Below are 14896 nucleotides of genomic sequence, written 5' to 3' on the forward strand. Positions count from 1 at the left end.
GAGTCCCCGAGAAATAGCTTTTGTTCCCACCCACTGCCTGCTCTCCCTGCAGGGACTGTGCCCCTGCAACCCCCTATTCAACCTCAAAGACCTGAGAGGCTGGACTCTGGGCCTCTCCAGTCCCAGGTACGGACCTAGGCTCAGAGCCCAGCTTGGGGGAAGACTGCCGAGTCATGAAAAGACTCGGTGGGCAGTCCGGATCCTAGGGGGATCCCCGGAGCACCTCCCTAAAAGCATTCCCTCGGGGAACCTGGCCTCAGGAACCTTAGGAACAAGAGAGGTGGCAAAACAATCTGGCATCTCCTCCATAGCCTATAGATAACCCCCATGCTGCAACCCAAGCCACCACCTCTGCTACCCAAAGTGCTGAGATGTCAAAGGGAAGCCTCAGCACACAGAGCCAAGCCCCTTTTCTGATGGAAGCCCCCACCCCGAGCAGAGGCTCTACTCCAGAACGGGCCCCGTTCCTCTTCTGAATTGCATCCAATGCTGTTTCCAGCCCAACCGCCAACTCTATTTCCGATCTTATCCCAAACCAATTCCAATTCTATCTCACTGCTCCCAAAACGGTCCCCACCTTTGCCCACTGTATCCCCTTCTGTCCACGCAAACCCAGTTCTCTTACCCGAGTGGGGCCTCCGCCTTATATCCCACCAGGTGGGAGGGTCACCTCAACGACCTCCAGCTCCCAGACTGTGCTATTTTGTCCGTCTCAGAGGCTCCCCCGTCTCGACTTTGAGGGCCCTCTTTCCCACATCTACTGGCCAGACTCCTCTCTGACCCTGGCTCACAGCTCAGCTCTGTTTGCCGTTCCCACTTCCTCTGGCCTTCCTGAGGGCCCCGCAACTGTGCTGCTATTCTCCAGCACCCAGCTCTTTCTCTGAGGCCCCAGGCCCGGGGAAAAGAGAAGGGTAAGAAGACACCAGCCAAGAGCCAGGGTTTGCCATCAGCCCCGACCCCCTACCCAACCCATGGTAGACAGAAAACCTTGGAGGAAGCGTGGGGGACCAGTCTGGGCTGGGTCATGCTGGGAGGGGCCCTACCTGCTTGTCCTGAGAACAGGAGCGAGGCCAGGAGGCAGCCGAGCAGGACCAGCGCCCTCATGGTGACTGCCAAGAGAGCCCAGCTGCTCCTCGCCTCTATTTATACGGCCGGCCGTGGCAGCAGGCGGTGGAGGGGGGAGAGGGGTCACACAGTCACCAGGGCAACTAGGAGGGTGTGATGGGGAAGAAGCCCGGACCCCAGAAGGCTGTGCAGAGGCTCAGGCTGCGCCACTGCTGTCCCAGCTGCCAGGCCCCAGAAGGCAGGGCCGTGGCTGGATTCTCTTCCCCCGAACCCCTGCAGCCCTGGGATCACATGACATGGGTCACAGGGCGTGGGTGACAGGCATAAAATGGAGCATCCCTTGGGCTCAGGCGGTGGAGCTGGGAAGCTGAGTCTTCCCAGAACTTGCAATAACTTGACCTGAAGTCTCGGCAGGTTAAGGACCTTGACACGCCTGCACTGGAAGGAGGAAGTTGTAAGGCCACGCAAAAGAAATCCTATTTAACAGCCACTGATCCACATGCTAGAGAGTGGTCAGCTACGGCAAACCCGCAACATGTGACCTCTGAGGTCCAAGGCTGCAGCCCTGGAACAACCTTCCCAGCCTCTGGAAGAGAGAGAGCACAGACCAGAGGGAGAGGGGCACACTGAGACACAAGCTGAGGCTACGGTGTAAACTGGAGGATGGAGCAACAGATATCCATTTCCAATGGCCCAGGGGTTCCAGAACATTCAGTCACCTCTGCAAAGTGCTTTTTTGTTTATTTGTTTTTGATAGAGGATCTCGCTCTGTCACCCAGGCTGGACTGCAGTGGCACAATCATCACTCACTGCACTCGACCTCCCAGGCTCAATCAATCCTCCCAACTCAGCCTCCCAAGTAGCTAGGACAGTAGTGCCACCATGCTGTACTAATTTTTTAAAATTTTTTGTAGATGGCCCAGAGAGCCAGTTGTAAGAAGCCAAGGGAAAGCAGACACTTGCTTGTCTGGTCGGGGTACAGTGTCACTGTGTGGGGAAGAGGTAGAAGCCAGCCTTGGAGGAAAGGAACTAAATCAGGGCCAGGCACAGTGGCTCACACCTGTAATCCCAGCACTTTGGGAGGCCGAGGCGGGTGGATCACCTGAGGTCAGGAGATTGAGACCAGCCTGGCCAACATGGTGAAACCCCATCTCCACTAAAAATACAAAAATTACTGGGTGTGGTGGCGGGTGCCTATAATCCCAGCTCCTCAGGAGGCTGAGGCAGGAGAATCACTTGATCCCAGGAGGCGAAGGTTGCCATGAGCCAAGATTGCACCACTGACTCTAGCCTGGGCAACAGAGCGAGACTCTGTCTCAAAAAAAAAAAAAAAAAAAAAAAGAATTAGGCATCTGGTAGGCACTTGACTTTTTTTTTTTTTTTAATCTTTTTTAAGAGACAGGGTCTCTGTCACCCTGGCTGGAGTAGTGACACGATCATAGCTCACTGCAGCCTTGAACTCCTGGGCTCAAGCCACCCTCTCACCTCAACCTCCGAGGGGCTGGGAATACAGGTGTGCACCACATCTGGCTAATTTTTTTGTTTTTTGCAAACATGGTCTTCCTATGTCACTCGGGCTGGTCTCCAACTCCTGGGCTCAAGCAATCTTCCTGTCTCGACCTCCCAAAGCACTACGATTACAGGCATGAGCTACTGCTTTTTCAAAGACAAGGTCTTGGGACTTTTCCTCTTGGAAGTCCCCTCTCTCTCACTAAGGAGCTGTTTTTCTTTCTCTTTCTTTTGCCTGTTAAACCTCTGCTCCTAAACTCCTCATGTGTGTCTGTGTCCTAAATTTTCTTGGCGTGAGACAATGAACCCCAGGTATTTACCCCAAACAATGTAGCTGCTTCATGTTGGGGACCTCATCCGGGATCCCAAGGTACAACACTCATCAAAACGAGTCAAGAAAACTTATTGTGAACTATTTATGGCCTTTAATAATTGAATAAGGTATACTCCTGTGAAGAAAATTTGGAGCATGTTTGTTTCTCTCTGCCTGGTTTCTCTGGAATCTGGAAACTATCTCAACATCTGGTGGAGGCAAACCAGTGTTACAACCCATCAGAATGGCTGACAGTAATCAAACTCTAAATGGTGCTGCAGACAGAACCATGCACGGACATGCCTTTTTTCCGAGGACCCTTAGCTCGACCCCAGGAGGAGCCCTTAGCTTCTGTTCCCCACACAACACCCCTTTTAAGTATGAAGTAGCCAGAAAGAGTCATCATCAAACAACCCCGAAGAGCAGTTAGGGTTACCACTCCAGAGTGGGGAATGATACAGGAGTTAAGAGGAAATTACTTAGATAGTGAGGATACAGAAGTCCTCAGTAAGGTTTTCCTTTTACTGAAAAGCAGCCCCAAATCATTTTCCTTTCTAACAAAGAGCAGCGTGTAAAATCGAGCTGCAGACATAGATGCAGGCAGTTGTGCCAATCATGTTCAAAATGGCGGCTCCATCTTCCCTTCTCTGCCAGCCACGTGCACAGTAAGGAGCAGACAAGATGGTGCTGGCCAAGGGGAAAGTTCATTTGCATAATAAGATTAGAGTGGGGAGGTCAGCCTTCCCCACACCCCAGCGCTATGTAAACATCATACCTGACTGAACCAATCTGTGAGCCCTATGTAAATCAGACACCACCTCCTCAAGCCTGACTATAAAATCCAGTGCATCTGCTGCCGGTGGCGTTTTCCTTTCAGAAGTACCCTCTCTCTCACTGGAGAGAGCTGTTTTCCTCTCTCTCTTTCTTTTGCCTATTAACCCTCTGCTCCTAAAAATTAAAAAAATAATAAAAACAAAAAATTTCAAAAAATAAAGATGAGGTCTCACTGTGTTGCCCAGGCTCCTCTGAACTTCCCAGGCTCAAGTGATTCTCCCACCTTGGCCTCCTGAGTAGCCGGGACTACAGGCGTGAGCCACCATGCCCAGCTCTGCTCAGCTCAGCTCAGCCTTCAGACAGAAGCTGCCAGAGCCCTCAGCCTAAAAGACCCCACCCCATTTTCAGAAACCATGCATCCCTAGGCACACCTGCTCCTGACTGTCTCAGACTGACATTCCTCAGATGACTGGGGAGGAAGCATGTTTGAGAACAAGACGTGGGGCAGAAGAAAAACCATGTAGCCCGGCTACTCCTTTCCAATGGTCCCATTTCTGATGCCCTGGAGCCAGCGTCAGCCAGCTGCTTCTATAAGGGGCCAGGCGGTAAACAGTTTAGGTTTTGTTGGCCATCTGCAACTCTTCCACTCTGCCTGTGTAGCTAGAGCAGCTGGCACCACAGAGATGAATGGATGTGGATGCATCCTGATAAAACTTTATTATAAAAAAAAGGCAGCTTGGTTCCAAGCTGTAGTTTGCAAATCTCTGCCCATACTCTAGGGAAATCATTTGGTGAATTACTTTGTAAAGCAGAAAATCCTTTGGTAAAGGACCACCCATATCAGCGCTTTATGAATCTGGGTTTTCCTACGTCTGGCTGCTTCATGTGGGGGTTCAGAGCTAGAAAGGGGAAGGCGGTGCAATATCTCGGGGCCAGGGGATGACGTGTGTGTAACGAGGCTGCTGTGGATTTGAGCCTGGGAGCACATGCTCCGGGGAGAAATACGTGAGGAGTTTCATCATCTTTTTTTTTTTTTTTTTTTTTTTGAGACAGGGCCTCATTCTGTCTCCCAGGCTAGAGTGCAGTGGCACAATCATAGCTCACTGCAGCCTCGACCTCCTGGGCTCAAGCAAACCTCCTACCTCAGCCTCCAAGCAGCTGGGACTACTACACCTGGCCATTTTTTCTTTTTCTTTTTGTAGCAACATAGTCTACCTACGTTGCCCAGGCTGGTCTCAAACAATCCTCCTGCCTTGGCCTCCCAAAGTGCCAGGATTATAGGCGTGAGCCTGACAAGAAGAGTTTCTTGGGGGAAAGAAGTAGGTTTAACCCTGAAAAACTTTCTCCGATCAAATGAGAAGAGGTCCCCAGAAGCGGCAAGTCAACATCACAGTCACAAATGTTTATTTGGAGGACCTGACAGCCAGGTCTCAATTGCTAAAGTGTTGCCACAAGAAGGAAGTATTAGGCTTGTCCTGTGTGGTTCCTGAGGGCAAGGCCAGGTTTGATGGGCAAGGGTGACAAGAAACCCATTTTAGCTCAAGGTGAAGGAGGATGTTCAGGTTGAAGCTGCCCAGGAGAGGAACAGGATTGCTGATAAAGAAGTGTCCTGTCCCTGCATGGGTTCCAGCAGAGGCCAGGTATGCAGGGACGGGCACTGCTCAAGTGCTTTCCCTCCCTGCTTGTGCTTAAAGTCTGATTCTAGGGAAGACTCTGGGGCTGGTGCCTCCTGGAGGCCCTCTGCCTCTGTCCCTACATCATTTCCTCTGGAACTCCGGCCTCACTGGTTTCTGCGGGAGGCGCTTACGTGCAACAAGCCTGGCCCGCATCCTTGTCTCAGGACCGTGGGCTGTCTCTAGGGTGGTGAGGGATTTATCCAGCAAGCAGTGTCCTTGAGATGAGGCTGCATCTGCCAGCGGGCATCTGGGTGGGCAGGGACTCTTGGAAAGCCAGGGGCTGTGAAGGAAAGGAGAGCTTCTGCACGCCGCATCCCAGCCATTTCAGCAAGGGTCTTGGGGGAGGGTCTGGATGGGCCTCCTCGCCTGCTTCCTTTTTTTCCACTTCACTTGCAGAGGGCTGCTCCTCTCAAAGCTCAAAGTGCTCCTCTTCTCTGATGGAGAAAATCCCTGGGACAGGGCTCAGAGCCACACGTCGGTGATTCCGGGGAAGATGCGGGCCTCAGTTGTCAAACAGGGCAGCCAGCCTCATAGAACTGCTGTGAGGGACACGGGAGATGCTGGAGGACACAGGTCATGAGTATGAGCTCACTGAATTATCACAAAGCACGAAGAGCAGGTGATGGGGGGGACAGGGAGTGGAGATGATAAGAAAGGCCACAGCCCCTTTACCGTTCTGGGCACGCACTTCCTGTGGCTAAGCCCCTCTTTGGCAGCTGACTTGCTGTATCGTGCCACACCTCAAACGGTTCCTCAAAGGGCTAGGAAAATCAGATTGAACATGACAACTCAGGTCTCTGAATCCATTTTGTACTCAAGACTGACCCAGCGTTAACATGTAACCCTCATTGAAAGTATTGTCCCATTTATCTCAGAAATCATAGGTTATCTGTCTTAGAGGGACCCAAATTCCCACCCAAGCAGAAATCCCTTAACAGCCAGCCATCCAGCCTCTGAATACTCCCAGCAACAGAGAGCTCACTACCAGACAGCTACAGCTCTGCTGTTCTGAAGAGTGTAGGGCCTAGAACTAGCCACGGTGCTCCAGGTCTCCTCCCAACTTCTAAGTCTCAACTTTCAGCCAAAAGCCAGGAGCAGGCCGGGCGTGGTGGCTCATGCCTGTAATCCCAACACTTTGGGCAGCCGAGGCAGGTGGATCACTTGAGTGTTGCAGGCCGAAAGAGTGAGGGTCGTGATCAACTCAGTGCACCACTGGAGGCTATATGAGTAAACAGCAAACTGTTTTCATGAAAGCAGGGTGTTGGCAAACTGACAAACTGCGTCTGCCACCCAGAAGGAATGCTGAGGGCAGTCACGACCCAGCACAAGTGTTTCTTGTAATGAGATAAGGTGAACCTGTGATCAATCAAGCAGCTGACCAATTGTTACCTCCTCCACCCTGCTCTTTCTACCGAATGAGTATGAAGGGCGGTAGAGGTTCAAGGCGGCTGCCCTTGCTCACTAGAAGCAGGGAGCCCTCTTCTTCTTCCCCTGGCCCCTTCCTTTAAAACAGTTTCTTTTGTTTTAAGTTTTCATTTCTACGTTCGTACCCCTTCGTTTAGTCCCGTGGTAACTGTGGCAAACCGCGGCACTTGAGGTCAGGAGTTTGAGACCAGCCTGGCCAACGTGGAGAAACCCCATCTCTACTAAAAATACCAGGCGTGGTGGTGCACACCTGTAATCCCAGCTACTCAGGAGGCTGAGGCAGGAGAAATGCATGAACCCAGGAGGCAGAGCCGAGTAAGCCGAGTATTGTGCCTCTGCACTCCAGCCTGGGTGACAGAGTGAGACTCCATCTCAAAAAAAAAAAAAAAGCCAGGGACATGCACCACAAGGATCCCATGGAGAATGAGCACTACCTCTCTCCTGATCGCAACCAAGCCACCCCCTGCTAACCCTTATACCTGACATCTCCTTCTCCTACAACAGAACAGCAGATACAGAGACTCACTCTGTCGCCTAGGCTGGAGTGCAATGGCGTGATCTCAGCTCACTGCAACCTCCACCTCCTGGATGCAAGCAATTCTCCTGCCTCAGCCTTCTGAGTAGCTGCGATTACAGGCGTGCACCACTACAGTCCGGCTAATTGTTTTGTATTTTTAGATGGGGTTTCATCATGTTGGTCAGGCTGGAGAACAGCAGTTTGTCAATTCTCTTTGCAACCAGAACGTTCAGAGCACTGTCTACATCTCCCATAGGGCAGGAGACAATAGGAGAGATAATAAATGTGTATCAACAGACTAACCGCTGATGTGTGTGGCACCTGCAACCCCTTCAACCTTCACAAATCACCTGCCTATTTATTGAGGCCATCCACCAAGATAGCCGGCACCCTGGGGAAAACTTGACTTGGGCCCCCTAATTCAGGCAACTTTGCAGCTGTCATTCTTAGCTCCTAATTTTTTTTAATTTATTTTTATTTATTTATTTTTTTGGAGACGGAGTCTTGCTCTGTCACTCAAGCTGGAGTGCAGTGGCACGATATCGGCTCACTGCAAGCTCCACCTCCAGGGTTCAGGCAATTCTCCTGCCTCAGCCCCCTGAGTAGCTGCGACTACAGATTTTTTGTATTTTGGTAGAGACGGGTTTCACCGTGTAGCCCAGGCTGGTCTCGAACTCCTGAGCTCAGGCAATCCGCCCGCCTTGGCCTCCCAAAGTACTAGGATTACAGGAGTGAGCCACCACGACCAGCCTTTGTTGTTGTTGTTTTGAGATGCAGTCTTGCTCTGTTGCCCAGGCTGGAGTGCAGTGGCACGATCTCAGCTCACTGCAACCTCCACCTCCCAGGTTCAAGCGATCCTCCTGCCTCAGCCCCACTAGTAGCTGGGATTACAGGCAGGCACCACCATGCCCAGCTAATTTTTGTATTTTTAATAGAGACGGAGTTTCGCCATGTTGGCCACGCTGGTCTTGAACTCCTGCCCTTGGGTGATGCACCTGCCTTGGCCTCCCAAAGTGCTGGGATTACAGGCGCGAGCCACCATGCCCGGCCAGCTCCTTGTTTTCTCAATCGGGGGTGTGGTGGGAGAAGCTGCTTTGGGGAACTCATTCCTTTCTTCAGCTGCCAGATTTAGAGCTGGTCCTGCCGCAGCCCCCAGTCCTATCCCCTCCTCTGTCAGCACAGGTTCTTGTCAACCAACAGAATAAACTTGCGACTCAGCAGGGCAAGAGGAGAAAGGAGACAAAGGCAGAGGATGATATAACGCCATCCCTGCCCAGGACCTGCAGGACAAGGGAGGCCAAGCCGGCCAACTCAACAGAGTGAAAATGACAAATGCTACAAGGCCACACAGCATCGAGGAAAGCACAGACAGACAGCTGGTTCAAGAAAGGACAGGAGGATGGACTAGGATGCGGGGGAACACCGTGGAGCCAGAAACACAAAAAAATCTGAAGCTGAGGACAGCATGGCCAGCTGGCTCCAAGAGGCTGTTTGAGGATTTGCATGTGCTTTACATACTGGTCTGGGGCCAGTTAGTCAACTGATAAGGGGGCCAAGGTCACAGGAAGGGACCCCTCTTCCACTCAATAGCCCTTCAAACATCTAGCAGAGCTGGGGCATCGCTCTGCTGCACGGCCAAAGACACCCCCAAATCATGGCACCAAAGGCACGTTTTTATTATAACCCACCCAGTACCAGAAAGACATAGAAATGGCCTTTCTCTATAAAATATAGCAAGAAAGCACGAACTGGAAGTACTAGTGGAAGAAAAACAGGAAGGCACACAGTATGGAACCATTCGTAAGACTAACGGGAAAAAATGACACCATATATTTCAGTCCCTCACATGTGTGTAACTTGACCACCTGCCCAATTCAGTGTCCTTAAAATAAGAGCAAACCAAATGCTTGGAAGGAGTGAAATTATTTCAACTATTGAGACTCGGCAAGAATTTCTTCTGAGAATCCTCGTAAAGAGGAAACAGATACAGCACAAGGTAATGACACTTGAGAACATTCTTAGAACAGACATACATTTTCCATGAAGTTTATCCCTAATAGAGACTCTTAAAATAGGGCAGGGGACCAGCCAGGCGCGGTGGCTTATGCCTATAATACCAGCACTTCGGGAGGCCAAGGCAGGTGGATCAGTTGAGGCCAGGGGTTGGAGACCAGCCTGGCCAACATGGCAAAATCCTGTCTGTACTAACAATACAAAAATTAGCTGAGCACGGTGGTGCATGCCTGTAATCCCAGTTACTCGGGAGGCTGAGGCAGGAGAATCGCTTGAACCCAGGAGGCGGAGGTTGCAGTGAGCCGGGATAGCACCACTGCACTCCAGCCTGGGTGACAAAAGTGAAACTTCATCTAAAAAAAAAAAAATAGGGCAGGGGAGGCCACAGAGAACCAAGAATGCCTGGCCCCGCCTCAAAGAAATCACCCCCCAAACAGGGTCCATGACACATGCTTAGGACACTTCTCCTGAACTGTCACCTTACATGCTGTTGGTAGGAGAGAAAATTGGTACCATGCATTTGGGGGATGGTAGCTACTAAAATCTAGTTATAATAGCCCTAAGTTGGAAACAACATAAATGTCCACCATGGCCAGGTGCGGTGGCTCATGCCTGTAATCCCAGCACTTTGGGAGGCCGAGGTGGATGGATCACGAGGCCAGGAGTTCAAGACCAGCCTGACCAACATGGTGAAACCCTGTCTCTACTAAAAATACAAAAAGTAGCAGGGTGTCGTGGTGTGTGCCTGTAATCCCAGCTACTCGGGAGGCTGAGACAGGAGAATGGCTTGAACCTGGGAGGCAGAGGCTGCAGTGAGCTGAGATTGAGCTATTGCACTCCAGCCTGGGCGACAGAGCAAGACTCTGTCTCAAAAATAAATAAATAAATAAATAAATAAAAATAAATAAAATGTCCACCACTAGGTGAATGGATAAACAAACTGTGGTCTATTCATACAATGAAATAGTACTTAGCAAGAAAAATGAACATTTATGTTTACATAAAAACATAAATAAATCTCAGAGATATTGTGTTGAGCAAAAGAAGCTAGACAAAAAGAACTTACGTGTTGTATGACTGATACAAGCTTCTAGAACAGGCAAAACTCCAGCCTGGCCAACATGGTGAAACCCTATCTCCACCAAAAAATTGAAAAATTAGGCCAGGCGCAGTGGCTCACGCCTGCAATCCCACAACTTTGGGAGGCCGAGGTGGGTGGATCACCTGAGGTCAGGAGTTCGAGACCAGCCAGGCCAACATGGTGAAACCCCGTCTCTACTAAACAAAAATTACCTGGGCGTGGTGGCGGGCGCCTGTAATCCCAACAACTCGTGAGGCTGAAGCAGGAGAATCACTTGAACCCAGGAGGCAGAGGTTGCAGTGAGCTGAGATTGTGCCACTGCACTCCAACCTGGGCAACAACAGTGAAACTCCACCTCAAGAAAAAAAAAAAAAAAATTAGCCAGGCGTGCTGGCACACACCTGTGGTTCCTGTTACTCGGGAGGCTGAGACGGGAGAATCACTTGAATCCAAGAGGTGGAGGTTGCAGTGAGCTGGGATCATGCCCCTGCACTCCAGCCTGGGCAACAGAGCGAGACCCTGTCTCAATCAATCAATACACAACAGCGAAAACTAATATACTGTGACAGGAATTAAAACCAAGGCCAGGTGTGGTGGCTCATGCCTGTAATCTCAGATCTTTGGGAGGCCGAGGTGGGAGGACTGCCTGAGGACAAGAGTTTTCAGACCAGCTTGGGCAGCATGGTGAGACCTTGTTCCTATTTTTTAAAAAAAGAGAAGAAATTAAAACTATGGTGAGATTCCACCATACACCTACCAGAATACCTAAATAATGATAAATCTGACAATACTAAGTGCTGGTGGGAATGCAAGGCAACTGGAACTCTCATAAAAATGGTAGAGAATAGAGAACTACATACACATAAAACATTAAAAAACGTGTAAATCTGAGTAAGTCCCATGTACAGTACCAATGTCAATTACCTGGCTTCTATGCTAACTGTAGCTATGCAAGATGTTAACACTGAGGGATACTGGGTGATCTCCCTATACATCTCTTTCTTTTAAAAAAAAAAAAAAAAAAAAAGATAGGCCAAGAGCAGTGGCTGACGTCGTAATCCCAGCACTTTGGGAGGCCGAGACGGGCAGATCACCTTAAGTCAGAAGTTTAAGACCAGCCTGGCCAACATGGTGAAACCCGTCTCTACTAAAAATACAAAAAAATTAGCTGGGCGTGGTGGCGCACACCTGTAATCCCAAATAACTCGGGAGGCTGAGAAAGAAGAATCACTTGAACCCGGGAGGCGGAGGTCCACTGCGCTCCAGCATGGGTGACAGACCGAGGCTCTGTCTCAAAAACAAATAGAGATGAGGTCTTGCTATGTTGTCCAGGCTAGTCTAGAAATCCAGGGCTAAAGCCATCTTCCCCCTTCAGCCTCTCTAGTAGCTGAGACTACAGGTTAGAACCACCAACCCAGACTTCTCCCTGTACATTTCAATAATTATTTCAAAACTTAAAAATCTGAAAGAAAGCAAACTGCTTGATAGTGGCAGAAAGCAAGCATGAGGGGATTCTGGGGCTTGCTGGGGGTGTTGGCTACCTGGGTGTATGTTCAGTTTGTGAAAATTCACGGAGCGCCTAAGCTATGCACCCTCTTCTGAATGTGTTACCCAGTACTCCAATAAAAGGCTTTTGGCCCTGGAGAGGTGGCTCACGCCTGTAATCCCAGCACTTTGGGAGGCCAAGGCGGGCGGAGCACCTGAGGTCGGGAGTTCGAGACCAGCCTGACCAACATGGAGAAACCCCGTCTCTACTATAAGTACAAAATTAGCCGGGCGTGGTGGCGCATGCCTGCAACCCCAGCTACTCAGGAGGCTGAGGCGGAAAATCGCTTGAACCCGGGAGGCGGGGGTTGCGGTGAGCCCAGATCGCGCCACTGCACTCCAGCCTGGTCAACATGAGCTAAATTACGTCTCAAAAAAAAAATAAATAAATAAAACAGCCGAGCTGGAGGTGTGTGCCTGTAATCCCAGCTACTCAGGAGGCTGAGGCGGGAGGCTCGCTTGAGCCCGGAAGGTGGAGGCTGCAGTGAGCCGAGATCGCGTCACTGCACTCCAGCCTGGGCGACACAGCACGACTCTTTTAAAAACAGGTTTTGTTGAGTGCCGCATTGATCCGGTCCCTCCCACGCCCCCTGTGCTTCACAAAAACGTCAGGTCCGAGCTCCGGCGCGGCGGTCTCCTCCTCCGCGGGTCCGGGCCGGAACTCGGCAGAAGGACGAGCAGCTCCTTGGGGCCGGCAGTCTCCCATCGCACTGAGATTGACACGGCAATGTTTCGGATACTCTGGGTAAAAATTAAATGTCTTACGAAAAGTCCTGTCACCCGTTTCTTGATTACTTTTTACGGCGGCTTCCAGAACCTTTCGTCAGCGCGAGCTCCATGCCCGGAGGCCGCCGTCACCTGCTCTCCGGGAAGGCCCTGGGCAGGCAGGCAGCGCGCTGAAGGAGTCCGGGAGCAGATCGTGCGAGAGAGCGCGCGGGCGCCAGGCGCGGGGGCGGGGCCAGACGTGCGTGCTGGCGGGAGCGCGCGCGCCATGGCCTGAGGCGTCTGGGAACATGCGCGGCGAGGGGACGGGCGGGGCGAGTCCGGGAAGGGGCGGGGCCGCAGCCGCGCCCCTGACTTCCACCGCCTGCGGGTGAGACCGCCTACCATCGCCCGGCGCGCTTGAGCATGCAAGGGGAGGTGGGATTCCCCTGGCCCGCCCCCAAGCCACGCCTCTGGCCTATGAGAACTGAGCTGTCCCGCAGGGACCGAGAGAGGAGCCTCCGCTTTCGCAGGGGCTGGGCGTTCCGGGCGCACTGCGCCCTCTGTTGATCCTCTTAGGAGCTGCGTGGGGACCGTCGGGCCTGCCGTTTCGCACCTGGCCGAAAGGGGTCGCTGTGCCGGGCCAGATCCTATGTAAATTTAGCTGGATAATCTCAGCAAGAGAAAATTGGCTGCAGTGCAAAGAAGCCAGGCTCAAAAGGCAGGGTTATCCCATTTCTATGACATGTCACAGGTAAGACTATGGCAACATAGATCAGTGGCTCCTAGGGGCTGGGTTGACCACCAAGAGGCATGGGGGGCATTGGAAATGAAGGAACTAATTCATATCTTTTTTATTTTGCTTTGGTTTTATTTATTATTTATCTATTTATTTATTTTTGAGACAGTTTCGCTCTTGTTGCCCAGGCTGGAGTGCAATGGCGCGATCTCGGCCCACCGCAACCTCCGCCGCCTGGGTTCAAGCGATTCTCGTGTCTTAGCCTCCCGAGTAGCTGGGATTACAGGCATGCGCCACCACGCCCGGTTAATTTTGTATTTTTAGTAGAGACAAGGTTTCTCCATGTTGGTCAGGCTGCTGTCGAACTCCCGACTTCAGGTGATCCGCCCACCTTGGCCTCCCAAAGTGCTGGAATTACAGGCGTGAGCCACCGTACCCGGCCTGTTTTATTTTTTCTTTAAATCATATCTTGATCATAGTGGTGGGTAGGAAACTATGCATTTGCGTGTAGGAAACACGCAAAACCAAAAATCAGAAAGTGTGACTTCTACTAAATGTAACTACTTTCATTTTTAAAAATTATTTATTTATTTATTTATTTTTTAAGATGGAGTGTCGCCCTGTCACCCAGGCTGGAGTGCAGTGGCACAATCTCAGCTCACTGCAACCTCCACCTCCCCGGTGCAAGTGATTCTCCTGCCTCAGCCTCACCAGTAGCTGGGACCACAGTTACTGGCATTCGCCACCATGCCAGGCTAATTTTTGTATTTTTAGTAGAGACGGGGTTCCACCATGTTGGCCAGGCTGGTCTCAAACTCCTGACCTCAAGTGATCCGCCCACCTCGGCCTCTCAAACTGCTGGGATTACAGGCGTGAACCACTACTGTGCCCAGCCTAATTTTTGTATTTTAGTAGAGTTGGGGTTTCACCATGTTGGCCAGGCTGGTCTTGAACTCCTGACCTCATGTGATCCACCCGCCTCGGCCTCCCAAAGTGCTGGGATTACAGGTGTGAGCCACCACGCCCAGCCAACTACTTTAATTTTTTAAAAAAGATATTAAAACCAGAAAGCAGGTGGTTGCTGGAGACTGGGAGGAGGGGGAAGGAGTGACTGCTTCATGGAGTCATTTTGGAGTGACGGACATGTTTTGGAACCAGGTAGGCTGTGTAACACTGTGAATGTATGAAGTGCCATTGAATTGTTCACTGTAAAATTCCAAGAAAACCTGCAGACTCCTGCCTTTCTGTGAAGAGTTCGTGTCCACTGTCATCGTGGGGTGAGCTGTGATTCTGCCTTCTGCTCTGGCCTCAGTCCCCAAGCACCCAGCACTGTGAGCATGAGGCATAGGAGGGGACCACGGTGTAAATCGATCTCTGGTCACGGAAGAGTGAAGGATTTAAAGGACCATGGCCTAGCCTGGGCAACATGGCAAAACCCTGCCTCTACAATAAAATATAAAAAAGTCAGCCGGGCCCAGGCCAGGCACGGTGGCTCACACCTGTAATCCCAGGACTTTGGGAGGCCAAGGTGGGTGGA

General features: G+C 51.2%; 1 protein-coding gene and 1 long non-coding RNA gene across 6 annotated transcripts in view, besides 3 other annotated features; both read right to left on the minus strand.

The window, feature by feature from the left end:
- Positions 1-1117, minus strand: part of SRL (sarcalumenin) — a 52707-nt gene extending 51590 nt beyond the window's left edge. For 4 of the 5 annotated variants that reach the window (NM_001098814.2, NM_001435440.1, NM_001323668.1 and 1 more), the window contains exon 1: positions 1044-1117. In NM_001098814.2, the coding sequence (NP_001092284.1) occupies positions 1044-1104 (61 nt within the window). In that variant the 5' untranslated portion in view covers positions 1105-1117. Of the gene's footprint in view, positions 1-625 lie in introns of all 5 variants that reach the window. The other variant, XM_047434447.1, reaches the window with a different exon arrangement.
- Positions 1118-4861: 3744 nt separating this feature from the next.
- Positions 4862-12826, minus strand: LINC01569 (long intergenic non-protein coding RNA 1569). The gene is made up of 3 exons (NR_039999.1): positions 12684-12826; positions 10359-11071; positions 4862-6098 (listed from the first exon to the last, which is right to left on the minus strand). It is a non-coding gene; the product is annotated as a long intergenic non-protein coding RNA 1569 (long non-coding RNA).
- Positions 11708-12330: an enhancer, noted in NCBI's record as "H3K27ac-H3K4me1 hESC enhancer chr16:4302672-4303294 (GRCh37/hg19 assembly coordinates)". NCBI's record gives its function as "activates a minimal SCP1, AML or CMV promoter by ChIP-STARR-seq in naive H9 embryonic stem cells {active_cell/tissue: H9 hESC(naive)}" and the evidence as "EXISTENCE:reporter gene assay evidence [ECO:0000049][PMID:30033119]".
- Positions 12395-12604: an enhancer, noted in NCBI's record as "active region_10336". NCBI's record gives its function as "activates an Ori minimal core promoter by ATAC-STARR-seq in GM12878 lymphoblastoid cells {active_cell/tissue: GM12878}" and the evidence as "EXISTENCE:reporter gene assay evidence [ECO:0000049][PMID:35858748]".
- Positions 12835-13094: a silencer, noted in NCBI's record as "silent region_7148". NCBI's record gives its function as "represses an Ori minimal core promoter by ATAC-STARR-seq in GM12878 lymphoblastoid cells {active_cell/tissue: GM12878}" and the evidence as "EXISTENCE:reporter gene assay evidence [ECO:0000049][PMID:35858748]".

The sequence above is a fragment of the Homo sapiens genome, chromosome 16 (genome assembly GCF_000001405.40).
Source record: "Homo sapiens chromosome 16, GRCh38.p14 Primary Assembly".
In the NCBI taxonomy this organism is placed as follows: domain Eukaryota; kingdom Metazoa; phylum Chordata; class Mammalia; order Primates; family Hominidae; genus Homo; species Homo sapiens.